Source organism: Homo sapiens, chromosome 7 (assembly GCF_000001405.40).
Source record: "Homo sapiens chromosome 7, GRCh38.p14 Primary Assembly".
NCBI classification, from domain to species: Eukaryota; Metazoa; Chordata; class Mammalia; order Primates; family Hominidae; genus Homo; species Homo sapiens.
In genome coordinates this window covers 156,647,180-156,672,364 of record NC_000007.14, presented here as the reverse complement: position 1 = coordinate 156,672,364, position 25,185 = coordinate 156,647,180, and the positions used below count along the sequence as shown (strand labels likewise).

General features: G+C 41.2%; 2 protein-coding genes and 1 long non-coding RNA gene across 45 annotated transcripts in view, besides 4 other annotated features; 2 read left to right on the top strand and 1 right to left on the bottom strand.

Annotated features, from left to right (window-relative positions):
* Window positions 1-3,353, top strand: part of LMBR1 (limb development membrane protein 1) — a 224,172-nt gene extending 220,819 nt beyond the window's left edge. For all 9 annotated transcript variants that reach the window (XR_007060137.1, XR_007060136.1, XR_007060135.1 and 6 more), the window contains one exon: window positions 3,078-3,353. The gene's annotated coding sequence lies outside the window, so the exon portion shown is untranslated. The remainder of the gene's footprint in view (window positions 1-3,077) is intronic.
* RNF32 (ring finger protein 32) overlaps window positions 1-25,185 on the bottom strand; it is a 36,927-nt gene that overhangs the window by 4,766 nt on the left and 6,976 nt on the right. For 20 of the 33 annotated variants that reach the window (NR_131778.1, XM_011515811.3, XM_011515810.3 and 17 more), the window contains 4 exons: window positions 17,647-17,789; window positions 14,792-14,824; window positions 14,113-14,237; window positions 13,795-13,903 (listed from right to left, as the gene is read on the bottom strand). Coding sequence is in view for 30 of the 33 variants with exons in the window: in XM_011515811.3 (XP_011514113.1) it covers window positions 13,795-13,903; window positions 14,113-14,237; window positions 14,792-14,824; window positions 17,647-17,789 (410 nt within the window). In the remaining 3 variants the exon portion in view is untranslated. Of the gene's footprint in view, window positions 1-12,014; window positions 13,503-13,794; window positions 13,904-14,112; window positions 14,238-14,791; window positions 14,825-17,629; window positions 17,790-25,185 lie in introns of those variants that run through there. The other 13 variants (XM_024446666.2, XM_047419904.1, XM_047419900.1 and 10 more) reach the window with 5 other exon arrangements.
* Window positions 12,406-18,180, top strand: RNF32-AS1 (RNF32 antisense RNA 1). Of its 3 annotated transcripts, none has more exons than NR_189274.1 (3): window positions 12,406-14,489; window positions 14,674-14,910; window positions 17,946-18,180. It is a non-coding gene; the product is annotated as an RNF32 antisense RNA 1 (long non-coding RNA). The 3 variants fall into 3 exon arrangements; NR_189275.1 differs by having other exon boundaries at window positions 17,678-18,180; NR_189273.1 differs by lacking the exon at window positions 17,946-18,180 and adding an exon at window positions 15,331-17,227.
* Window positions 14,024-15,223: an enhancer, noted in NCBI's record as "MED14-independent group 3 enhancer chr7:156449836-156451035 (GRCh37/hg19 assembly coordinates)". NCBI's record gives its function as "activates an origin of replication core promoter dependent on BRD2, BRD4, P300/CBP and CDK7 cofactors, and independent of MED14, by STARR-seq in HCT116 cells {active_cell/tissue: HCT116}" and the evidence as "EXISTENCE:reporter gene assay evidence [ECO:0000049][PMID:35650434]".
* Window positions 15,412-15,461: an enhancer, noted in NCBI's record as "active region_26910". NCBI's record gives its function as "activates an Ori minimal core promoter by ATAC-STARR-seq in GM12878 lymphoblastoid cells {active_cell/tissue: GM12878}" and the evidence as "EXISTENCE:reporter gene assay evidence [ECO:0000049][PMID:35858748]".
* Window positions 15,702-15,751: an enhancer, noted in NCBI's record as "active region_26909". NCBI's record gives its function as "activates an Ori minimal core promoter by ATAC-STARR-seq in GM12878 lymphoblastoid cells {active_cell/tissue: GM12878}" and the evidence as "EXISTENCE:reporter gene assay evidence [ECO:0000049][PMID:35858748]".
* Window positions 21,067-21,286: a silencer, noted in NCBI's record as "fragment chr7:156443773-156443992 (GRCh37/hg19 assembly coordinates)". NCBI's record gives its function as "represses an EF-1alpha promoter that drives an FKBP-Casp9 reporter gene in an ReSE screen in K562 erythroleukemia cells {active_cell/tissue: K562}" and the evidence as "EXISTENCE:reporter gene assay evidence [ECO:0000049][PMID:32094911]".

Genomic DNA, 25,185 nt, shown 5'->3' with positions numbered 1-25,185 from the left:
CTGGGGCCAGGACTGTTCTTAACGCTGGTAATAGCATCCAGGGTTTTTAAAGGGTTTTGCACCTGTCGTCGTCACACCCTGCCTTTAAACCCTCTCAAGAGCTCAGTACACGCACCGACCATAGTAGGCACTTGTTGAAAGAAACAGACTTGTCAGTTTTGCATATATACCAAATAAATCTCAGGGAGGGTGGCCCTTAACACTTAGTGCTCCAGTCTTAATGGTAACTGGTGTAATATAGCAAGAAAGCAAATAAATGCTTAGGATATTTTAATATACATAAGAATCACAAACTAATTCCACACTCAGGTGTTTGATTCCACAGAAGAAAACCTAGCATGGCAGACGCAAATATTCCTTTCCACAAGTTTTGATGAAATATTCCATTCCACAAGTTTTGATATGTACTTTTGCTATTCAACTGAAATTTCTTCTCATTTCCATTATAATTTTGTCTTCGATTAATACGTTATTTAGAACCGTTTATTTTCAAACGTGAGATAGTTCTATTTTTTTAAAAAAAATTTATTTCTAGCCTCAGCTGCACCGTGGTCAGGGAACATACTCTACACGACTTAAGTTTCTTCAAGTACGTGGACATAAAGATGGTGACATGAGATACTAGGACGACTGGGGAGGGACACGGGCTGAAAAACTAACTGTTGGGGACTGTGCTCATGAGCTGGGCGACAGGACCGCCTGTACCGCAAACATCGGCGTCCTGCAGTACACCCAGTGACAAACCTGCACAGGCACCCCCGAATCTAGAAGCTGAACTTATAAAACATAAATGTCTCGACCTATGATGACATCTGCATCATGGACAAGCGTATGGTCAGTTTTTATAATGATATATTTGTACTTTGAAAGAAAATATGTGCTGCCGTTGCTCGGTGTGGTGTTCTACACCATTATCTCTAATGATGCCTTTGCTTTAGAATCTCTTTCGTCAGGTATCAGCACATCAGCCTTCTTCTGTAAAGAGCTTATGTGTATATTATAGTACATATAATATGTTACCACACTCACACACACACTGTTCGCGTTTTCAGGCATCTCTTCTGAGTAACACATACATAATCTGATTGGTGCTGGAGCACTCAGTCCGCTTTGTGTTGTTACTGACAGACAAACGGTGCACCCATCCTGCTCTGTCTTCCATCTGCCCTGCCATTGGTTTCTTAATTTTTGCTCTTTTCAATTAAAGTTTTCTATTCATTCTCTTTACTGTTTTGAAGGTTAAAACTCTGTTTCTATTCTTTTAGCTATTGCCCTAGAAGTGCATACTTACATTATTAAGGTCTAAATTGGAATTTTTATCCCTCGAACCAATACAAGGATCTGAGCATACTTAATTTTCCTCTCCTGCTTTATGTTATTTTTGTCATAAGCTCTCTCTCTCTTTTAACCTGAGACATGAGTTTTCTTGTTCGGTGGAATCAATGTCTATTAGATTTACTCACATTTTTACCACTGACATCTCAGATTTCCCGTCTGGGGCCATTTTCCTTCCTCATGCAAGGCATCCTTTAGAATTTCCTTTAACGAAGACGTTCTAGTGGCACACTTTTTGTCTGGCTTTTCTTTTGCCTCTCGTCTTGAATGTAACTTTCATTTGGTTCACATGGGAGTCTAGACTGGCGGTTAGGTCTCTCCCGACACACGGAGATGCCATCTCACCTTCTGCCGCTCCCACTGGGAAATCTGCAGGTCCCAGGGTTTGCCATCGTCTGTCCTCGTTCCTGGCCACTTCCAAGATGACTCCGTGCTTTGTGTTCTGCAGGCTCACTAGACACTTAAAACAAAATCATATTGGGCTTCCTTGGGCTTCTTAAATCTGTGGCTTGTATCTTCTTCAGATCTGGAAAATTCTTAGCCTTTGTTGCTTCAAGCTGTTGCCTCTGTCCCACGTGTTCTCTTTTCTCTTCAAATTCTGACAGTGACATCCTGCGCCACATCCTCTCTTAGGCAAGTCACTTCCCTGGACCCGCTTTCCAGGGGATGCAAAACGCAGGGCCCCCCTTGCAGACCTGACTCCTCAGTGAGCTGAAGGCAGGGCCTGACTAGAATGTGTGTGTATCAAGAGCCAAAGTCAAAACAGTAGAGCCAGCCGTGCTTAGCATCCAGCTCCTCTGCAAAGAAGGAAATGTGTGTGCCCTAGTGGGTGGGAAATACGAATTGTGTGCTTTTGGTGATTCCACGTATGACTTAAATGCTCTAATATTTGCACTTAAAACTGACATTCTGGTGTAAAGATGCACTGTGAAAGTCATAAAATTTATAATTTAATTTTTTCTTAGAATAACATTAAATAAACAGCAAATAAAAAAAACTACATGACCACTGGAGAGAGAGGCCACAGAAGTACATACAGCTTTATACTTTTAGTACTTGGATGGCACTTTCCCATGTTTTCTTTCTTTTAAACAGGGATCTGTGTTTCATTTTCATGGCACTAGGCCATGACCGCCCGCCCTCCTGTCACCTGGAACAGAGTCCCCAAGCCCTGCGTGCTGCAGGCCCAACTGCACGTCTCATCTGGTTATTTTGAGCCTCCCCTCCATGGGCACGCCCTGCAGAGGCTCCCAGGAAGCGCCTGTGCTGGAGGGGCCCAGCCATGGCCCCTTCTCCCTGGGAGTCCCAGCCCTGCCCTCTTCACCCTCTTTGGTCTGGGTCCCAGCTGCTGACCTCGCATCCCCGGGGCTCTGAGGGCAGTTTCCAGTGTTCACGTGGCTGTGGGTCGCCCTCTTGAAAATGACCTATCTGCTCAGCGCCCAGCTCAGGGCCTCACAGGGGTCTGGGTCCTGGAAGGGTCACCTGTGCCCAGCGGCTCACACTCTGCCAGCCTGCCCCTCCCACATGCTAAGCCGTGCTGCCCTCTGCCTGGACAGAGGTTCCAGGGAACGGCACGGTTCCTCCATTTGGGTTCAGGGTGCATCTCCTCAGACATTTCCACCTTATTTCAAACATCTCACCCCTCACTTCACTCTCTCTCCCCTTCCTCTCTTTGCATTTTTCTTCCTGGCACTTATTCTTGAAAATTGTAACAAAATATTTTATTATTTGTCTCTCCCCAGCTCCCTGCAGGAAGCGTGCCCTGCAGCAGGCGCGAACCACCCGAGCGGCCTCCACATGCACCTAGACAGGCACGCCGGCTGGGTGCTCACACCTGGGCCCTTGCACCTGTGTCTGCCCAGAGGGGCTGGTCAGCACACCCTTTACAATGAAGGCTCACAAAGTACACAACTCCAAGTGCCAGTCCATGAAAGCAGTTCGCATAGACTTTTCATGCAGTTGAGTCTAATTTATATTTTACTATCCACTTACCCTATGTAACCAAATATCATTTTTACACTTATTAACAATTCATACTTTTTTCTTCCTTAAGAGGAATTAAAGCATTTCCTCAATGAGAAAAACAATTCCCTTTATATGTAATGGTGGTTAAAGACTATTAATATGCATTTTAATCAATCTAAAGTAAATAATTTTAACTTAAATTTACCACTTACAGGATCCGCATGGTGAATGACAAGTTTCTAAAGGGGCTGGGGTGAAAAGAGTTGGGGAATTGCTCAGCTGCCATAGAACAGGCACTGTGCTAGCCTGATGGTCTGGATGACAAACACTGGTTCCTTTAACAGAGAGCTCCCGTGTAGCAAGAAAAGCCCCGCTGACGATGGAAAGCGTGCTGCTGTGGCACTGGACTCCGGGAGACACGGAGTGAGGGAGGGATCGCCAGGCTTCTTGGGAAGTCAGCCTACAAGGCGCTCTGGGCAGATGCAGCCAGTGGGACGGGGACCTGGGAAGGAAGGAGTGAGGACACAGAGGCAGAGGGAAGCAGGGTGGCAAGACCCACAGGTGCAAGTCACTGGAGCCCGGCTCCACCCGCCTCCCCTCAACAGCCTCTGTCCTCTGGGAACACTCTCCCAGGTCACTCCCCATGGGCCACCCTCCTTCCTTCTTGTTCCTTCCTTTCCTGTGTGAATCTTATGGTCTGGCCAAACTTGTTGACTCAGTTCAGTGAATCACTGTTAGATTTTTCTGTTTCCTTGACTGCACATGAATGACTGGTGGGATCCATGTGTCCCAGGTACCTGGGCTGGAGGTGACCTCTCTTCTCTGAGCTCTCACAGGGCGCTGCTGCTCCTTTCATTCCACACACGTCAGCTGCCCAGTGTTAACTTTTTCCTGTGTGCACTGCTTATCTCCTTGAATGAGTGCCTTAGATTCAGGGAAGCACCAATTCATCTTTGTAAGGCCCTTAGCATTCAAGAAATTTTGACTTTAGGTTTGCAACAGATGAGAAATGAGAGCAAATATATGCCTCAAATGTACATATTCCAAAGGAGTGCAGTAGAAATCCTTTTTGGGGGAACTAAGAAAAAACACTGCCTACCTAAAATGATTTTCAAGTTACTTTCAGCGTCAAAATTCAGTAAAACGTCAACTTTAGCTTATAATCATAACATTGACATTAGCTTATTAATAAATATACTGAAAGTCCTTCCATAGACATTTATGACAAATTTAAACAGTGAACTGGGATGAATATTCTTACAGCTTTGAGTATTCAGAAGTTAGCAAGGGTGGTACTTTTAGAAGTCAAATCAACATTTATTAACTATTGTAGTTAATTCAAAGTACTATCCTATGGGCAGCTACTATTAGATATTTTTAATTGTCAGATTCTTCCGTGTGCAGCTTTCTTTATTCCTTTATTTACTCCCTCGCTTTTTATGTGGGTTAGATGACCTTAGTAACTGAAAGGGCAAGAACTGTCAAAAACAAATGACAACTGACTTCTAGTTTTTAAACAAGTGGTTGATATTATGAATTTTACAGAAACAGACAAAATACCTAAACATTTTCAATTTTACAAAGAATGAATGTCTTAGTGTAATTTTTCCTTTTAAGCCTCACATATCAGATACTTGATAAACTAAATAAGAGTTTGAGTTATTGATATGTAAAACAATTACTGGTCATTTACAAGTAACAAGCTGGCTAAACATTTAAAAAAAATATACTAACAAAAGCACCCAGGTGAACTCTGTCTACTCAGGAGGGCTTTTTAAGTGATCCATCTTGATGTCAGCAAATTGCTTACTAATGTGTTGACTTATGGCCGCCCTCAAAAGCAAAATGAAAAGCCTGGAATTTACAGCATATCAATGAATCAGTTGATAAGCTTTTACTGGTTTAATATCCTTCCAGTCCTGCTGCTTGGAGCCACTTCAAGTTAGCAACAGAATGTTTGCCATCTCTATGTGATAAAGGAAGTCAAAGGACTAAGCAAACTTTAAGACCATTATGCTGTTTGGTGAGATGTAAATGAAAAAAGTCAGAGAAATCTTGTGCTGGAGGGTGTGGGAGCCAGCAGCCCCTAAAGCCGCCCCAGCATCTGACAAATCACTCACCCCACTTTCTAAACAATGTCTGGGACTTTTAGCTGGGGCGGAGATAATATAATGCACTTGAGAAGTTTTAATTGCAGCAATAAAAGACCCTACCTCAATCATATGACATATGCTAGCAGAGTTTCTAGATAAGGATCAAAGGCAGTCAGGCCTAGCCGCTGCATTCTGGGCAACACTGTGGACTTTCTGTACACACCGGTGCTAGGTATTAGTAGAACAGCTTGAGTGACCTTTCCAGGCCTCTTTGATCTGCGTTCCTCAAAACCTGAATGAATAAGTGTTCGAGGACTACTGTATCATCCCGAGACAACTCAAACACCCTCTCTGACACAGGCATTTCTGAGTGAATTTTTATTCTCTGACACTTACCTAAGGGTACAAAACTCAACATCTGACCTTTTCAATTCTTACCACAAGACTTCAATATAGCTGAAAGGATCTACATTGTAGCACGACATCACTGCTGTGGTTGGGTTTTGTTAGGAATGTGTCAGTGACATCTTAGAGCAACACAACTTTGTGAAAAGAAACCTGCAGTGTATGCAAGCATTCCTCTTCACAGAAAGAGGGTCCCTTTTCACTCGTCAACACACCCAAAAGGTGCATGAAAACTAAAGAAAAGACTTCACTAACTCTCCCTGTAGTAGAGGAGTAAAAATGTAGGAACAAAGTTCGACAAGCAAAATAGATTAATTTATAAAAACAGAATGGCTTGGGCTAATCTCATCCTGAGTATTAAAAACGTATCCCTCTTGGTGAGATCCTAAAACATATGAGGGAAACAAACACTTCCTAATCAGCTATGTCTAAAAATATCAAACTATTATCCCTCCTTGCCCTCCTTTCTATTGATTAGACTTCTCTTTCCCCAAAGGCAACTTATCTTTGATCGAAACCAATGGTTCCCAAGTATAGCAAACAAGTTTTCACCTATCTGCCAGCCAAGAAAGAAAGAATAAATTCAGTGGAGTGAAATATGTGTAAGGCCAAATGTCTGCAGTGTGAAAGGAATATCCTTTAGTGTGCGGTCAGGTACTTTTTTCTTTTCTGGTGTTAAAATGGTCTTTCTTTTACACAATGATTCTGATGGTACGTGGTGTTTTGTTTTTTCCTCTAACTTGGTAAGGTAAGTTTAAAAAGTTGGCACTGACTTTGTTGAAGCCCCAGATTTCTCTCATAGTTCAGCAGAGTCTAGAAGACTGAAAAGCACTGGAGTGCAGAATCGAGATGGCTGGTGGGTGGGAGTGGAGAATCAGCCACTGACAGAGAGTCAGGGGAGCTGACGCTGACGTACCTTTAACTTTGGAGTGCGTCATGTGATTGATTTCTCCTAGTAATTTGTGATTTCAGTTTTTTTAGGTTAAAAATAAAATGAATTTGCAACAGTTTAACGTTCACCAACAGTGAGAATGGAGATGCCACTTAGAAATGTAGCTGCTGGTTTCACATGTTATTCCCAGACTTAAAAACTGTTGTTCCCCAGATCATTAAGAATTTGCCATATTCAATCTTATTAATTGCCACACATTTTGCTTTGTAAGATTTCCAGTTTCTAAAATTCAAACCTCAGAGTTGCATACACATAGAAGTATGGAAGGGGTGATGAGGTGAACGCATGTGAACAGACTCAGGGGTGGCTTCCCATACTACGCAGAAAAACCTGGCATGCCTGGAATTTCACTACATTACAAAGCTAGTCTCTCACTCAGAGGGGCCTTGATAAAGTCATTGTTCATTCTGGCTTTGGAATTTATTTTTAATGGCCGTATTACTAGGAAACCTATAGACACCGATGAATCTGAAGCTGGTCCTTATTTAGTACACATTTTTAGTTCTGAAGAACTTTTGGAAATATAAAGGACAAATGTAAGGAGAAAATGAAGCCTGAGTTGAGAACCTGAGACCCACAGTTATGTTTTTATTTTAAATATCTTAATCTGATTTCTAGAAGCTTAACAAGCCTCATTTTACTTATAATCTTACGTTAAAATTTTTATAGGTACTTAAAGGAAAGCAGTTCAATTTTCTCTTTTTTACTGAAACATATGTTTGTTTCTTGGTGAAAACAATACAATTCTGTTTCTATCATTGGAAAAATGACATTTTCACATGTTATGCCCAGATTAAACTAGATAAACTTGTTAATAGTATACTATTATGCTAGATGAAAAGAGTCTTTTCTAAAGGCATCTGAGGATGATGATGACTTTCTTTACTAAGATAGGGTCCGTGTATTATTTGTCTCACATTTATTATTAAGCTCTTCCAGTTTTGAGCTGTAAAATATTCTACTCATTGATTACATCTTTAAAAAAGAACAATAAAATAGATGCAACCCCTAAACATTAATATATAATATATACAAGGAAATTCTCCACTTGTACCAAACATGTAAATCAAGATGATCATTTTGCCTTGTCAACCAGGACAAATTACCACCTAGTGTGCTCTTGCAGTGTTTTTCTTTTTCTTTCTTTTTTTTTTGGATGGAGTTTGACTCTTGTCGCCCAGGCTGGAGTGCAATGGCACGATCTTGGCTCACTGCAACCTCTGCCTCCCGGGTGCAAGCTATTCTCCTGCCTCAGCCTCCTGAGTAGCTGGGATTACAGGCGTGCGCCACCACGCCCGGCTAATATTGTATTTTTAGTAGAGAAGGGGTTTCTCCATGTTGGTCAGGCTGGTCTCGAACTCCCGACCTCACGTGATGCCCCCGCCTCAGCCTCCCAAAGTGCTGGGATTACAGGCGTGAGCCACCGCGCCCGGCCCTTGCAATGTTTTTCTATAGCCTTCAGAACGTTGTAAAAGCCACGGTGGCAATCACGCAATGTGCCGTGTGCACTGGAGCAGAATCTGAGATCCAGGCTCTCTCCCCGCTCTGAGCTGCACACGTTCTGCTAGGATTGTGGTGTTTTGTCTGTTCCCTCGTTATCTCCCCTGACTAACAAAGCACAGGCAGAGAGCAGGCACCCAGGAAGCTATTTGACTCCATTAATTTCATGTATCCATTAAAATGTATTTGAGAGTGTAATCCGTGTGGAATGTTCTTGGCAGTAACGCATAAAGCAGTGTTCTTTAACCCCCTTCAGATGAATGAACTCAATTTCCCAATTGATTTTTCTCAAATAATTTTTTTCTCCACTGGTCTGAAATACCTTCTTTAGTACACTAAAATTTCCTGTATGCTGAGATGTGTGACTTTCTACTGTTTCATTGTTTGTCTATTATTCCCCAAGAATCTTAGTTGCCAAATTTATATATTTTGATATCTAACAAGGCTGTTCTATCTCATCAATCTGTCTTTTAAAAAAATTATTAGCTCTTCATACCTCTTTAGATAAACTTTAGAGTTAACCTGTAAAGTCCTAAATGCACAGCCAATCCTACTCCTTTGGGAGTTAGAAACTACATTAAATTTATATAAAGTAAGTGGACATTTTTACTCATTCCAGTGTAAAATGTCTGTCATTTTATTCAAGCCTTTTATTCCATCAGAAAAAATTTTTTCTTATCAGTGTGGTACATTCCTTGTTTGGCTTATTTTAATATAAATATAATGTAAAATTGTAATATACATGTGTGGATTTATATAATATGCATAACATATACACATATGTGCACACACATATATTTTGTTTTCATGTGTTATTGGCAAGGATTGGCTCAAGTGTGATGACAGTAAGTAACCTAGTTTTCTTTATGGTTTTTTACTCTCTAAAACAATGTGTTTTTAGTATTTGACACATAGTTTTTAATGTGACAAGGAAATTTCATTCTAGTTCTAGTGTCTTTCATTATTAAGAATGGCTGTTAAGGCCGGGTGCAGTGGCTCACGCCTGTAATCCCAGCACTTTGGGAGGCCGAGGCTGGTGGATCACGAGATCAGGAGATCGAGACCATCCTGGCTAACATGGTGAAACCTCATCTCTACAATTAGCCGGGCATGGTGGTGGGCGCCTGTAGTCCCAGCTACTTGGGAGGCTGAGGCAGGAGAATGGCCTGAACCTGGGAGGCGGAGGTTGCAGTGTGCCGAGATCGCGCCACTGCACTCCAGCCTGGGTGACAGAGCGAGACTGTGCCTCAAAAAAAAAAAAAAAAAAGAATGGCTGTTAAATTTTATTTAATATCTTTTCAGTAAAAACGGAGATGCTCATATAATTTTTTTCAGTCATTTCATACTTTAAATTTCTTTCCACGTTTGCTATTTTTACAGGAAGTAATTTCAATTATATTTTCACTTCTATTGCATAAAGTTGTATACAACAATTTTGTAATTTTAAAATGATTTCTATTTATATGGGTACACCTCCCTTTCTGTGTATCTACAGAAAACCAACGTCCCAGGTCAAGCAGTCAGGCAGAGACAGAGAGAAAGCACACGCAAGAGAGTGAGACTGTGCCTGTGTACACACGCAATTCACTTTACTGAGTCCACTGATTCAAATGCTCAGCTCATCTGGAAATACCCACAGGCACACCCAGCAATAATGTTTAACCAGATAACCTGAGCATCCCTTAGCCCAGTCAAGTTGACACATAAATTAACCATCACACCTGGGTAATGTGAAATTCAATAACCTAGTTCAGTAACCTTTTGGATTCCATTAAATATGCAGGGCATTCTAAAATTGTAGATTAACATTTCTCAGAGGATTCCCATCGCTCACAGAATGAGTTTATTAAGTTGGAAAGGTAGAAAAAAAGCATCAAATGGTGAGGTCATTTGGTAAATGATTAAGAAGTGGTCTTTATTATAAAGGACAGCTGTTGAGTTCTACCCATACAGGCATACAAGCACATAGGGCATGGACCCATATAGGCACCTACTACCTACTGCTAATACACTATTTTACAGTAAGTTCAATCTTCATTTATTTAACATGAGATCTGAGTTTACAGATTTCAAGTGTTTATGGCCAAATGAGTTAAGTGAGCAAGAGTTACATGATAGGATCCCTATTCATGTAACAAATTATGAGTATAACCTCACTATGATCTGAGTGTGTGTGCGTATATGTATACATCTGTTCCTCCCCACCCCCACACTTGAAACTTGAATGAGGTAAGATTACAGTTCAGCAGATAACACGGTCACTTGTATTATGTTTAAGGTGGCAGTTATTGATAATGCAGACTGCTGATATCTACAACCCATCAGTGACCCATAACATTAATGTAGTAGGCCCAGCACTTTGGAAACGAAGTGGAATAAAAATGAACACAGTGTGGTGCCTGCAGTGAAAGCAGATTTTGCTTTGCGAAAGTTACGTTTCTGTTAACTGTATACATGTGGTGGGTCATTGCTGTAAGCTAAAAATAAAATCCTGGCCAGGCCATGGTGGCTCTCACCTGTAATCCCAGCACTTTGGGAGGCCAAGGCAGGCAGATCACCTGAAGCTGGGAGTTCAGGACCTGCCTGGCCAACATGGGGAATCCCTGTGTCTACTAAAAAATACAAAAATTAGCTGGGCATGATGGCGGGTGCCTGTAATCCCAGCTACTCAAGAGGTTGAGATAGGAGAATTGCTTGAACTCGGGAAACGATGGTTGCAGTGAGCCAAGATCGTGCCACTGCACTCCAGCCTGGGCAGCTGAGCGAGACTCCGTCTCAAAAAAAAAAAAAAATCCTAAGGCCCCCAGCAACAGAACGAACCCCCTCTTGGCCAAGGGGGCCCTAGGAAAACCTTAACAATGGAATTTCTGGCCACGATGGGAAGAAAGGTGAGATGCCCCTTATGCCCACTCCTTGCTGGAGTTTAAGCTGAAGTGACCAGTATTCCTTTAAAAGTGATAAGGCTGACGGCAGTCTGAGGCAGTAAGAAACCAAAGTACAAACAAGACCTAAGGCCATGCCCGGCAAGGGACAGTCATGCCGCAGGCCATCAGTCTTGCTGCGCAGCATCCTCAACTTAGAGATTCCCTTCTGCTGACTCCAGTATTTAGATAGAGCCCTACTCCTTTAACCAACTGCAAATAAAGAATCTCTGAATCCACCTACAATCTGTAAACCCCCACTTCAAGATATCACGCCTTTCTGGCCAAACCAATGTATAACTTCCATGTACTGACTGATGTCTTTGCCTGTAACTCCTGCCTCCCTAAAATGTATGAAACCAAACCGTAATCCAACCGCCCGGGGTGCACTTTCTCAGGACTCCTTGAGAGTGGGTTTCCTGGCCTGCAGTCACTCGTATCAGTCAGAGTCAACTTCTTTAAAATACTTTACAGAGTTTGGTTTTTCTGTCAACATTGCTTAGAAGATATTTCTTATTGTGGTTGAGGAAAAGTCTGAAAGCCACTGCCCTAGCCTATGGCTCTTGCCTATAATCCCAGCTAACTGGGAGGCTGAGGTGGGAGGTTCGCTTCAGCCCAGGAATTTGAGGCCAGCCTGGGCAATATAACGAAACCCTGTCTCTAAATAAAAATAAAAAACAACTTATACAGTTTGTTCTCAACTACCACCCCTGCAAAAAATAAAAAATCAGTTTTACTTATCAGTTTCTTCACAGATATTCAGCTTAAGTGAATTTGCTATTGAAATCATCTGAGATCATCTTAAAAGCCCCAAAGGAAAAACCACATTTGTAATATACAAGCTAGAATAGCATTCATACTTCTGTTCTTCTTGATCTCTTAGATGGTGTTGTTTAAACATACAATAGAGGTTTAGAGAAGACCAAAGAAATTGGAAGAAAGCTTCAGCTAGGCTTTGAAAAACTGGCACATTTTAAGCAAGGCAGAGGGAACCAGTAGGAACGGGCAGGACATGCGGGGGCGGGCAAGAGTGTGCTCAGAAAAGCAGACACGGGGATCAGAGCGGGGCGTTCCGAGCGATGAGGGCTCAGGACGAGGAGGCAGCAGTTGGGATGAACCAAGGATAAAACAAAAAACAGTATTTGTGGGGAGGTGGGATGGCCACAGGGCAGCGGACCCAACGTCCAGTGGGACAGAGCTATGAATCTGCCTTGTAAAGTTCCATCTCTCTGTGGGAGACACTGAATTAGAAACTGAGGAACTTGTTTGATCAGGTCTCCCTGCCCCGACTGCTCTTGGTCACTTGCTTTTTGTTATTTTTCGTTTCCTTTTTCCATGAAGCTGAAGGCTGCAGCATTTGAACACCTGAGCACTGAACGCTGAAACTTAACCTTCACTGGCTACTTTACAAGATAACACAAGGCACATTGTAATGGTTGCTTCACTTGTTTCCAGCAACCTGGGCCAGTTCTCGTCCAGTTCAATGGGCTGAGACCACCAACACTTTCAGTGGGCCTTTATCTTCAAGAGTTCTTATAAAATGATGTGTGCACATGAAAAATATTTATATATATAAGGTAAAATGACTATCAAATCTGTAATTAAAATTGTATAAGAGGTGACAAAAAATCACTTCTGATTTAAGAGACAACCTACTATGACATATTAGAAATTACTAAGAGTAGCCCAGAGAACACAACTGACTGTCAACGACTGAAGATAAAAAACTGGAAAGAATGTAAAGGAAGGATGACGCAATCGTGCATGGCGGTCCTTTACCAAATTGAGAATGAACACCCGAGACGAATGATCTCTGAAGATCAGAGACACTGCTCTCAGGAACAGAACACACAGTAACTCATCTCCATATTCTAGGAAAGGAGTTAATAGTGATAATAAATACAGAATTTCCAGCACCTACTGTGTGCTGGGCCATTATAAATGCTACAGCTCTTCTCAGGCCAACACTGCCAGGAAGAAGTGATGGCTTTCATATGACAGCCTCGGAGCTGCTGCTGTTTGCCTGAAGCCACAGGCTGATGGGGTAGGACTGTCCTTTTCATATGGGGACAAGGAATGGGAAATTGTTAAATAAGTCCCCCAAAAGTAAAACTAAAGCATAAATAGTGGTTAAGAGGAAGGGTAGACATGGAAGTTAGCTCTAAAGCTCATTGTGATGACCCCACGAGGTACTCAATACAATGGTAGCATGTGGGGGCTTTATTTTTATAGGCAGCTTCTATTTTCATTACTATGAGATGTGCAGCAGATGTCTTCATTTACATATAGCCCAGGAGATGGGAAAAATTAAGCTGGTTTCCAGTCTTGTGTCTGAAGAGATAAGTTTATTTAAACAATTAGCACAAAATGGCCAAACAGAAGTTGCTTTGATTTAACCTAATTTTATGATTTAACTAGAAAAGAAAGTCTAGAAGTATTTGAACATCTAGGTTGGAAAGCCAACTAAAGTTAAACAGGATTTTTAGCAGCATCTCACCCATTTTTAAAAAGCCCTCAAAGTGAAGTAAGTCTCAAAGTTTTACCACCTCTGTTAGCCTTCCTGACCCCAAGTGAACCACCCGCACGGAGACCATATCTGGAGAACATAATGATCTTTACCTACCTTTTTTTCAAAGAATTTTTTTCTTAACTTGGCATCTGTGGGAGGTACTGTTTTCCTCAGGTTTCTGTACCACTTTCTAACAACACATCCTCTCCAGTAGGCTTGGATTCTAAAACACAGATATTTGAAAATGACTAATTTATGATGACTCTATGTCAACCAATACTTCAGTAGTTGTTATAAGCCCTGTGCTGTACAAGGCCCTGGGGAAATTATGGTGGCCAAGAAGAGAGATAAAATCCCACTATTCAAAAAACAAGTTAGTTGTCATAGCCTGATCTGTGTCTGCTTAGCGCCAAACGGGCCTGGCGTCCTCACCTGGTCACACACTTGATTCTGAACAGGCGGGCCCCATCGTGTATCACTCGGGTTTGATACTGGTTCTTTCTACAGAGAGGACAGGTTTTCTTATTTGTGAACTTTTCAAAAGCCTGAAGACATGCCTGAAGAAAAACATTTCACTTAAAATTTTACAAGTAATTACTTATAAACAACGTTTTTACTTCCAATGTTAGTGTTCTAATTATAGTGTTCTTTTCTCCCATAACTATGAGACTTAGCCCAATTTAGGTTATAAAGTGAGGAGGCTTCATCAGGTGCTACCACCTTCCTCACAAAACCTGTTCCAAAAATGATTTCTTACAAGAATATACATGCAGAGACATCAAAAACTTCTGAAATCCACTAGCACAAAGGTGAGTCACGCGTGTGTATGGGGCCACATGCAGATCGATCATGTGAATTTAGCTGTCACTTTGACATGCATTACTGACAACAATCTGTTACATAAACATTTGTGGTTCTTTTGTCACAAAACTCATGATTTTCAAAATAGGATGAATTGTACTGCAGCCTACAGTCATGTTTCTTTAACTATAGATGGTGGTGATGAATAAAATAAATGGCTCTCCTTAGGAGCCTTGAAAATGACTATGGTTTCTCTGCACTGTGAGAGCGACATGTGCAGCACCTGGGCAGGCGTGAGGGGTGGACTTACTTTGTGGAACACATGGGAGCATGAAAGCAGCACCTGTTCATGAGGAAACAGAACGACGTTGAAGTTTACAAAAGAGAAGCAGCATGTATCCAACAGTTAAAATCCTGAATGCTTAGAAGGTAAGCTGTATTATTTCTTTAAAAAAGCAAATTAATAACTTTGATATTTATACTATTTATTGTTTGTTTAGCACAGCACAAGTATATACTCTAAATAACAAAAATTCATGATCTGAAATATCAAATAAACACATGAAGTTTGATATTTAACTATTAAAATGAGTGTATACTTAAGAGCGAAACAATGACAAAATGAAAGTTTCCCTTAGATGCGGGCAGTGACTGCAAACTGGAGGGGTGAGGAGGGGGGCCTGTCCAGTGGGGCCAGGGAAACGCTAAGTAAATACCATTTAGGTCTTTGTTCAGCTCAGTTATGCCCCCCAATTTTTGTGAAATCATAGCTCTACTGAGATATAATTCTGACAGTCTTAAATTTAAATAGCAACAAATCATGGAGTCTTTTTTCTTTTTTAAATGCAGGGAAAGTGTGCTCACAAGAAAACTTCACCTTTCTGTGACCCAAATTCCCCACTAAACAGTGATATACTGGGCTGTGACAAAAGACTGAAGCTTAGACCAAATGAAGAAGAAGGCAGTGGGTACTTAGTAGAAGGGACAGCCGCCAGCCCACCAGCGCCAGGCCCTGCGGGCTGCCACACAAAGGCCAGGCTCCTGCTTCCCTTGGGAGGGGCTGCTTTCAGCAACGGGGAGGAAAGCAGGGGAAACTTGTGAGACTGAGCAAAGCGGTGGGGTCAGGCGAAGGGTTTTCCCTTTTTGTCAAGAATCTGACTTGGGTGACCACAGTCTGGGGCACTCCTGGGTGAGGTTTCAATCTCAGCCGGCCCAGGATGCCTGCTGTGGGGAAAACTTAACAGTTTTTAAAGTGAATCCCACCTGCCTTCACTCAATGTATGCTTTTCTTCTTAAATGGAAGAAATACAGAAATAACTAGAACTCAGAAAGTTGTAAAACCTTTTCTTGAAACTTATTGCCAAGAGTAAGTCTGAATTGAATAAACTCAGTAATAGGGTCCTTTTTCATTACCACCATTTAATAGCAATCTTTTCTATACTTAATTCATTCTTTATAGAATACTTTTCAGTGTTTTATCAACATATATTCTATCTATATGGAGCAACATTAGACGTCAGTATATTAAAGTGTTATCTTTTTAAGTGTCCCCAAATATTTGTTATTGGCAAACATTCTCTGATGTAACAAAAATCAAGGATTAAGTAGTGGAAAACACACTAAAAATGGCCTAGAAGTTAGGATTGGATTCCAGCAGGACTCTGATACTTTCTGCGTCGGCCTACTATGAGTCATTTGAATTGTTTTTATTCCCTCATCTGCTAAATGGGCAGAATGCCTACTATACGGAATTAATTGAAGGCCCTCTGAAATCACTAAATGTTATAAAAATGCCAACTATTGTTTATAACTAAGGAAAAATCTGAACATGGAAATGATCACTGGAAATGCAAAATATACAGGATGGGTCTTATATCAAAACCAAGTAAAAATAATGGAATTTAGTGAGAAATTTATAAAAATCAGAAAGAAATGTTGGGCAGGGTACACCCTGATCCCCATAAGATAGTAACTTTCACTTTTCATTCTTCATACAGACACTCGGGTTGGATATTTTAGTATAAGTAAGAAAGAGGGTGCTTAGCCAGAAAGACACCCTCTGGCTTTATTCACAGTTTTGCTACATTAAATTACTAAATTATCCTAGACAATTTGTGGTTTCAGGGCTAAAATCTGTCCAAAATACCCAACTTTCACATATGTAAGATTAGGTCCTGATAGAGAACTGGAATATAATAAGTATGTCTAAAGTAACTTATGAATTCAAATTAGTGAATAGAAGTGTAACTGTTGTGAGCTTTCTTGCTGATGAAACCTACTCAAATTCAATGAAGACTCAGAGTTCATTTGCCCAGATTGTAATAAGCCTGGGTTCCTAGGCTACAAACTCCAAGGCTGATTTTAACTGTATTTGCTGTGTTTTCTCAGCAAATCTCTGAGGGCCTGCTATGCAGGAAGCGTAATGCCACACCACGTGGGAAATTGTTACAGGGCAACCACGCACGCACGTGCACGCACACACACACTTCTGATAAATCTAAGTGTCCCCAACTTCAGGGGACAATAGTTTAGTTAGGCAGACAAAATATGTATAGAAAAAACCCTATATGCATTCTCTCTCTCTCTCTCTATATATATATATGCATTCTCTCTCTCTCTCTGTGTGTGTGTGTGTGTGTGTGTGCGCGCGCGTGTATATTATCTGTTAACCCAGAGTAGTATCATCAGTCTTACTATGGTAAAGTTTCATGAATAAAAATCATTAAAAGATTTTACTTTTCTTAAAGATTCTCTCACAAATTCTTTGGAGACATTCAAGCACAGTTTTTTTTTTCTTTTCTGACTCAAATCACAAAACCACTTAAGAGTCCCTCTGCTTTCATCCTTCCCGCGCTGGGACACAGCTGCTCCTGGGAAGCCCCCCAGTTGTCTGCACAGCCGCATGGGGCCTGTTGAACAGAAACATTCCTTTTGTACAAACTTTAGTACTTGAGAATACCAGTTAGTAAACAAACAAAACTATTTAATGAGGGTGTTTAGCTCTTCACACACTTTAATTAATGGAAAACAAAATGGAAGTGTGTGAGGCTCACACAGGAGGATGAAACTGGAAAAAGGAAGCTTGGAATCTTAGGCTCCAGCTCTGGGCCTCGTCCCTAGGAAACAGCCCAGGAGCTCTCTAGCTCACCCTCGTATGCTAAACACCTGAGGACGAAGCTCGAATTCTTCTTTACAGATGGGGCATGGTTGCACGGAGTCCCCTTGCAGGAGAGAGCGCTGTTTCACCTTCTCCCATTCATCTGATGACAGTGGAGGTGGTGGAGGCCCAATGAGGCCCAACTTCTGTGCTAAAGTAAGACAGCACAGGACAGGAGTTAGAGTGTCTTTTAGCATATGGCACCCACCTATAACTTTAATGACACCATTTGCAAACAAAGATTAAAGAACTACATATAGATCACATACTTTATTTCACAATAGAAGCTGTCCATTGGTATCCACAGGGAATGTGTTCCAGGACATTCCAAGGATGCTCAAGTCCCTGATAGAAGATGGTGGAGTATTTGCATACAACCCATGCATATCCTCCTGTATACTGCCAGTCATCTCGATTACCAATAATTCCTAATGCAAGTGCTATGTAAATAGCTGTTATACTATATTGTTTTTAATCTGTATTATTTTTATTATATTGTTGTATTGTTATTTTTTATTCATTTATTAAAATTTTGATCTGTGGCTGGTTGAATCTGTGGATGCCAAACCCACGGATACAAATGGTGGACTGTATATAGGATGCCGTTTTTCTATGAGGGCGCAAAAGTCAGTGGTAATAATACCTGACATTTTCAATACGTTTATTTTTTATTTACAAAGCATTTCCCATATCTTATTTCATTTCCCAATAACTCAATAAGGCAAGCAGGAGTGATATCCAAGTTTATGAAAGAAAAACTGAGGAATACTCATTGTTCACACGTATTGGCCCAAGTTTCTCCCAGTTCTCACCTGCCTCAGCCCTCAGCCTTCAGCACTGCCTCTCCCAGCTCACCTTGCTCTGCCACCAGTGGCCTCTACATCAATCTGCACCTCCCCTGCTAAAAACTTTCTATGACGTATCATCACGGTCAGAATAAAGTTCTTATTTCAATAACACGTGGGTACCCACCATGTGCTGTCTCGGCATCGAGCTGATAGTGCGGTGGGAAACACTCACTTTGAAAAAGCAACTGCAACATCCTCAGGCAAAATGCAGGAAGCGAAGTTCACCTTCCACCACCTCCCCGCACCCCAAAGACGGGTCAATGCATAAAAAAGCATCGACTTACAAGGATATCTTCAGAAATGGAAGACAAAATGTTACATCGACAAAACATGACAGAAAACTATGAAGGGACACTTTCGAGTACAGAAAGAGCTCTTGGGCTTTTAGAGTAGAAATGTGAACGTCCACTGAAAGGCTGGAAGAGAAAGCTAAGATACAGTCCTGAGATGCTTAACAACAGGCGATTGTTGTTAAGAAATGTGCTGTTAGGCGATTTCGTCATCTTGCTAACATCACAGCATATGTATACATGCTTAGCTGGTACAGCCCACCACACACCAAAGCTACACGGTACAGCTGATTAGACTACACACCTGCACAGCATGTTACTGTACTGAATACTGCAGGTAACTGTAACACAATGGTAAGGATCTGTGCTTCCAAACATGGAAAAGGTATAGTAAAAATATGTATAAAAGATTAAAAATGGTGTACCTGTGTAGGGCACTCACCATGAATGGAGCTTGCAGGCCTGGAAGTTGCTCTGGGTGAGTCAGTGAGTGAGTGCTGAGTGAGTGTGAAGGCCTAGGACATGACTGTACACCACTGTAGACATCATAAACAGTCTACACTTACGCTACACTAAATTTATAAAAATATATTTTCTTTAATAATAAATTAAAGTTAGCTTCCTATAACTTTTTTACTCTCTAAACTTTTAAATTTTTTACAATAACATTTAGCTTAAAACAGTATGTTGTCCAGGCTAGCACGTAGTGATGTGGTCATGGCTCACTGCAGGCTGTGTCTCCTGGGCTCAAGCTATCCTCCCACCTCAGCCTCCTGAGAAGCTGGGACCAAAGGCACACAATACCATGCTCAGCTAATTTTTCAGTTAATACAAAATATTTTCTTTCTTATCCTTATTCTATAAGCTTTTTCTATTTCTCAAATCTTTTTTTTTTAACTTTTTTGTTAAAAACTAAGACACAAACACACATATTAGCCTAGGCCAACACAGGGTCAGAGTCATCAAGACGTCATGAAGTGGTAGGAATTTTTCAACTCCATTATAATTTTATGGGAGCACTGTGGTTTATTGTTGATTGAAACATTGCTATGTGGCACGTGACTGTAATCTCACAGAAAAACATATATCAGGAGACAGAAAATAAGAAAATCAAGGGACCGGTCTAGGTGTTGTTGTGACATCTGAAAAACTGGCATTTTAGAAAGAAAACATGGAAAATGGGGAGTAAAAATTTTAAAGAAAATAGTCCAAAACATCTCCCAGAAGCAAAGGACATGAGCTTCTGGTTTGAGAGGGCCCAGTAAGTACTCAGAACATCGAATCCCGTCACTGTGAGAATCTCGGAGACAGAAAGCAGACTCAAAAAAACAGGCCTCAAAAAAGGATCAGGAATCAGAACTGCATCAGACTCATCCACAGCACAACAGACAGGAGAAGACAATTCCTTCAAAATTCGGAGGAAGGAAAGATTTCCATATCAAGATTCCTTATTAGCTATCAATCAAATGTGAGAAAAGAGCAAAGACATTGTTACACATGTGAGCTTCTGTGTGGGTCTCCTCCGCACTCCTCCAGGGAGCTACTGACAGAGAAGCGTCGCCACTACGAGGGAAGAAACCAAGGAGGAGGCCGCCATGAGGTCCAGGGAGACAGAATCCAAGGAGAGAGCCCAGGGTCCCGGGATGCTGCTCAAGAGGGAGCCCGGGGAGGGGCCGGGGGAGGGGACCACGGAGGATTCCAGAAGCAACGTCCCCATTGATAAAGTGCCCTGGTATATTTTAATGTATTGAGATAATGTATTTCTGGAGGAGATTTTAGGGATGAATCAGTGATGAGTGATGATAGAGGAAACTAAAATGTGAAAAAATGAGACAGAACTTCAGGTAGAATAGAAAAATGTCTGAGAAGGAAACTGTAATATAGAACACCACATTGCTCAGCTGTGAGTGAAGTCACGGAATTGTAACAGAGTAAACACTGAATGTTATTAGTCTAACCACAAGTTATGAAAACAATATGCTAAATCTCGATCTTCTGCAGTAAGAAGAGATATCCAGAACTGAAAATTAACAAAACAGCAGCGTAGACATGTTATTTAGAATTATTAAAAATATGGCTGGGCATGGTGGCTCACGCCTGTAATCTCAGCACTTTGGGAGGCCGAGGTGGGTGGATCACCTGAAGTCAGGAGTTCGAGACCAGCCTGGCCAACATGGTGAAACCCCGTCTCTACTAAAAATACAAAAATTAGCCAGGTGTGGTGGCACACACCTGTAATCCCAGCTACTCAGGAGGCTCAGGCACGAGAATCGCTTGAACCCGGGAGGTGGAGGTTGCAGTGAGCCGAGATTGTGCCACCGCACTCCAGCCTGGGCATCAGAGCAAGACTGTGTGTCAAAAAAAAAAAAAAAAGAAATATTAAAAATAATACCAGAAGAATGAACCAAAGGATTTGAAAATGGCTGCCTTAGAGTAATGCCCAAAATGGGTCAGGGGAATGCTACACTTTCTGTTATAATCCTCATAGAACAATTTTACTTCTAAAACTATGCCCATGGATCTTCTGATAAGAATCAAGCAGCTACAAGTGTGATGAACGCTATGGAGAATGGTGTGCAGGATGCATGGGGCTGTGACCCCAGAGAAGGTTACTTGACCAAAGTGGCATTAAATGGAGACCCGCAGGGTTAAGAGTAACAGCAGCAGGTGAAGGGGGAGGTTTTCTAGATGGAGGAAAAGGATGTGCAGATGGCCATTAGTGAGAGAGCACCTGGCCTGCAGAGAAACAAATGAACAGTAAGACTGAAGAGGCTGAGACTGAGGTTGCGGAGGAGGGGCGCTGCCTCAGGGCAGCTCTTTGCCTTTGGCTCAAGGTGTGGGAGCAGGGAGAGACAGGGCCCCCAGCACCACCCTTCCTCTTAGACTTGGGTGGGCACTTGCTGTACAATCCAGACTCTGCTATGGTCAATGTCAACTGCCTCAACTTCAAACATCCACATCTCCCCATCATGCAAACCTGGCCTTATATTTATAAACTAATCAAGACCTTAGAACGGGAGGGAGAATAGGTAAATTGTATTGACAGATTTCAGCAAACTGCTGTGCTCTCTGGCCACAATGTAATAATGTTTAAAATCAATAGCACGTCCAGCACCCATCTTGCCTTTAGAACCCCACTGCGCGTCAGTGGAAATGGGCTCAGCCTCACAGAGGTCTCTTGATGGATCTAAGCATGTCGTGGAAGTCTTGCTACCCTTTGCCAATTTTTAGACTATCAATGGGCATGTGACCGTCTCAGGTGAAGCGGAAGGAAGGTCTGTTGGGAGCTTTCTCCCCTGCCTTTCTGGCTCCTCCCTTGTTGTTGAGGACTGACCCTGGGGCTGTGCACCCTCTTGTGTCCATGCACGGGGCAGCACCTCCCGACGGCAGCACCGGAAGGAGGCTGGTCCCGGCAAACATCAATAAGCCACCAAACCAGAACTGCTGTGAACAATGACACACACCATTAAGCTTTACATCACTTTCAGTGTGTTGCTTGTATATTTGCAGCCAAATGCATCCTAACCCATCACCTCTCCTCACCCCGCTTAAAGGAAAAAAAGCCTCAGGCCCAGATGATTTTACAAGTGAGTTTCCCCAAACTTTTAAGGAACATATCATCCCTATTTTCTGTTATTCCAGAATCCTGAAAAAGAGGGAACACTGCCCAACTTATTTGGTGAAGCTTATATGGCTTTGATAATAAAACCAGACAAGGACAATCATAGTCCAGGGTAATCCATGGTTAAACGTCAAACATCGTAAACGAGAATTAGTTATCAGAATGCAACAGTGAATGTGAAAAACACCGTGGGCAAGTAGGGTTTATTCAAGCTATGCACGAAGATTCAACATCAGAGTCTGTCACTGTAATTTACGGCACAAACAAACTCAAGGAGAAAACCCACAACAAACACGCTCATCTAAAAAGTTGCAGGAAAAAAAGCATTTAAAAAAGTACACCTATTAATGAGTTTAAAAACCTGTAGCAACTGGCTAAAAGGGAAATTTTATAATTAGATAAAGGCCAACAAACAACACAAAACAACAATAAACAAAGGGCAAACATCACATAAGTAAGTAAATGAAACGTGTTAGGCTAAGGAACGAGACAGAAATGCTAGGTATTACTACTCGTATTCACCACAGCTCAGGAGATCCTGGCCAGATTAAAAAAAAAGCAGGGAAAAAAAAGAAGGGGCATAAAAGTAGAGAGGCACAGACAATAAGAATCACTGCAGAGATCAACTTACTCAGAAAACCCCTAGGAATCAGAGACAAAAAGACCTAAATGGTGTGAGATGCTACCATATTTGTGGATCAGATGATAACACTGTAAATACAGTATTTCCCCGATCTATAAATCCAATTCAAAAAAAATCTCCAGCAGAATTTTATGTAGAAAATGAGGCAGTTTTAGGAAAAAAAAAAAGAGGAAACGTCTTTTCCTAGCAGCTATTAAGACATATTGCAAGACTCTATTAATCAAAACAGTGCAATACTGACATAGAAGCAGAAGCCTTGGAAGGAGAGAACAAAACACGCTTTAATCTCGTCGATTTTCCCAGTATCATAAGCAAAACAAACTGTGGTGACATCTAAATGTGAAAGGTAAAAGGTTAAAGGTAAATAAAGAAAATGTAGGAAAATCTTTGCACTCTCAGAATGGTGAAGTATATCTAAAGTCTCTCCCAAACAGCAATAAAGTGAAAAAAACAAAACAAAACAAAACAATGGATTTAACATTAATCAGAATGAAAATTGTATTCAATATAAAACAATAGATATAATTTAAAAGATGGTAAAAGAACAGAAGATATTTTCAGTGGCTAAATCAACAAGAGATTACTATGTAGAATATGCAAAGAACTCCAGTAAATCAGCAAGAAAAGACAGAAATCCAAGTGGAATATTATGTATAGACAGTAAAGAGCATATGGTTCAATGTCATTAGTAACTAATACGCACAATCAAGATTTTTTCCATAAAGAGGTCCTGAAAAAAGGTCTCATCTATTTTCCTTAATAACTTTACTTATTTTCCAAATTGGGACGTTCCTCTTTATATCTAATTTAAATTTTTCCTGATAAAACTCTTAAGATTGATTATGATGAAACTATTTGGTCATCTACATAAACCATACAGGTACAACAGAAGATCTTCACTAAACTACTGTACGACATTATTCCAAGTCTCAACACGTTCATGAGCCATGCTGTTTTCTAGAAGACATCGAGCTTGTTAGCAGAAGTTCAGAGGAAGACAGCATCAAATATCTCCCCTGGCGTCGCTGTGGAAACAGGTCCCCTCCACCTTGTGTGACTCCAACACACAGATCTTCCAGCACCTCCAGATCCATCTGACCTGCGCCAAGACACGCCATCCTCAACCAAACCTATTTTCCATGCCTATCAATAAAAAATCATATTTCTAACTTTTCGGTTTAAAATAATTTCAGATTTACAAAAGGTTGTAAAAACAGTATGAAGAATTCTCAGCAAAGGACTAGTATCCAGAACCTACGAGGAACTCAAACAAATCAGCAAGAAAAAAAAAAAACAAATAATCCCATCAAAAAGAGGGCAAATGATACGAACAGATATTTCCCAAAAGAAGATATGCAGATGGCCAACAAACATGAAAAAATGGTCGTCACTCGTCATCAGGGAAATGCAAATTAAAACCACAGTGAGATACCACCTTATTCCTGCAAGAATGACCATTACTAAAAAGTCACAAAACAACAGATGTTGGCGTTGATGTGGTGCAAGGAGAATGCTTATACACTGCTGGTGGGAATGTAAATTAGTACAACCTCTATGGAGAACAGTATGAAGACTCCTTGAATAACTAAAAGTGGATCTATCCCTCGATCCAGCAATCCCACTACTGGGTGTCTACCCAAAGGAAAAGAAGTCATTATATGAAAAAGATGCATGCATACGTATGTTTATTGCAGCCCAATTCACAACTGCAAAGATACGGAACCAACCTAAGTGCCCATGAACCAATGAGTGGATAAAGAAAATGTGGTATATATACACCATGGAATACTACTCAGCCACAAAAAAGAATGAAAAAATGTCCTTTGCAGCAGCTTGGATGGAACTGGAGGTCATTATTCCAAGTGAAGTAACTCATGTTGTATGTTCTCACTTATAAGTGGAAGCTAAGATACGAGTATGCAAAGGCATACACAGTGGTATAATGGACATTGGAGACTCAGGAGGCGGAGGGTGGGAGGGTGTGGGATAAAAAGACTGCACGTTAGGTACAGGGTAGGCTACTCTGGTGGTGGCACTAAAATCTCAGAATTCACCACTATATAATTCATCCATGTAACCAAAAACCACTTGTACCACAAAAGCTATTGAAATAAAAATAAATAAAAAAGAAGAAACACACACAA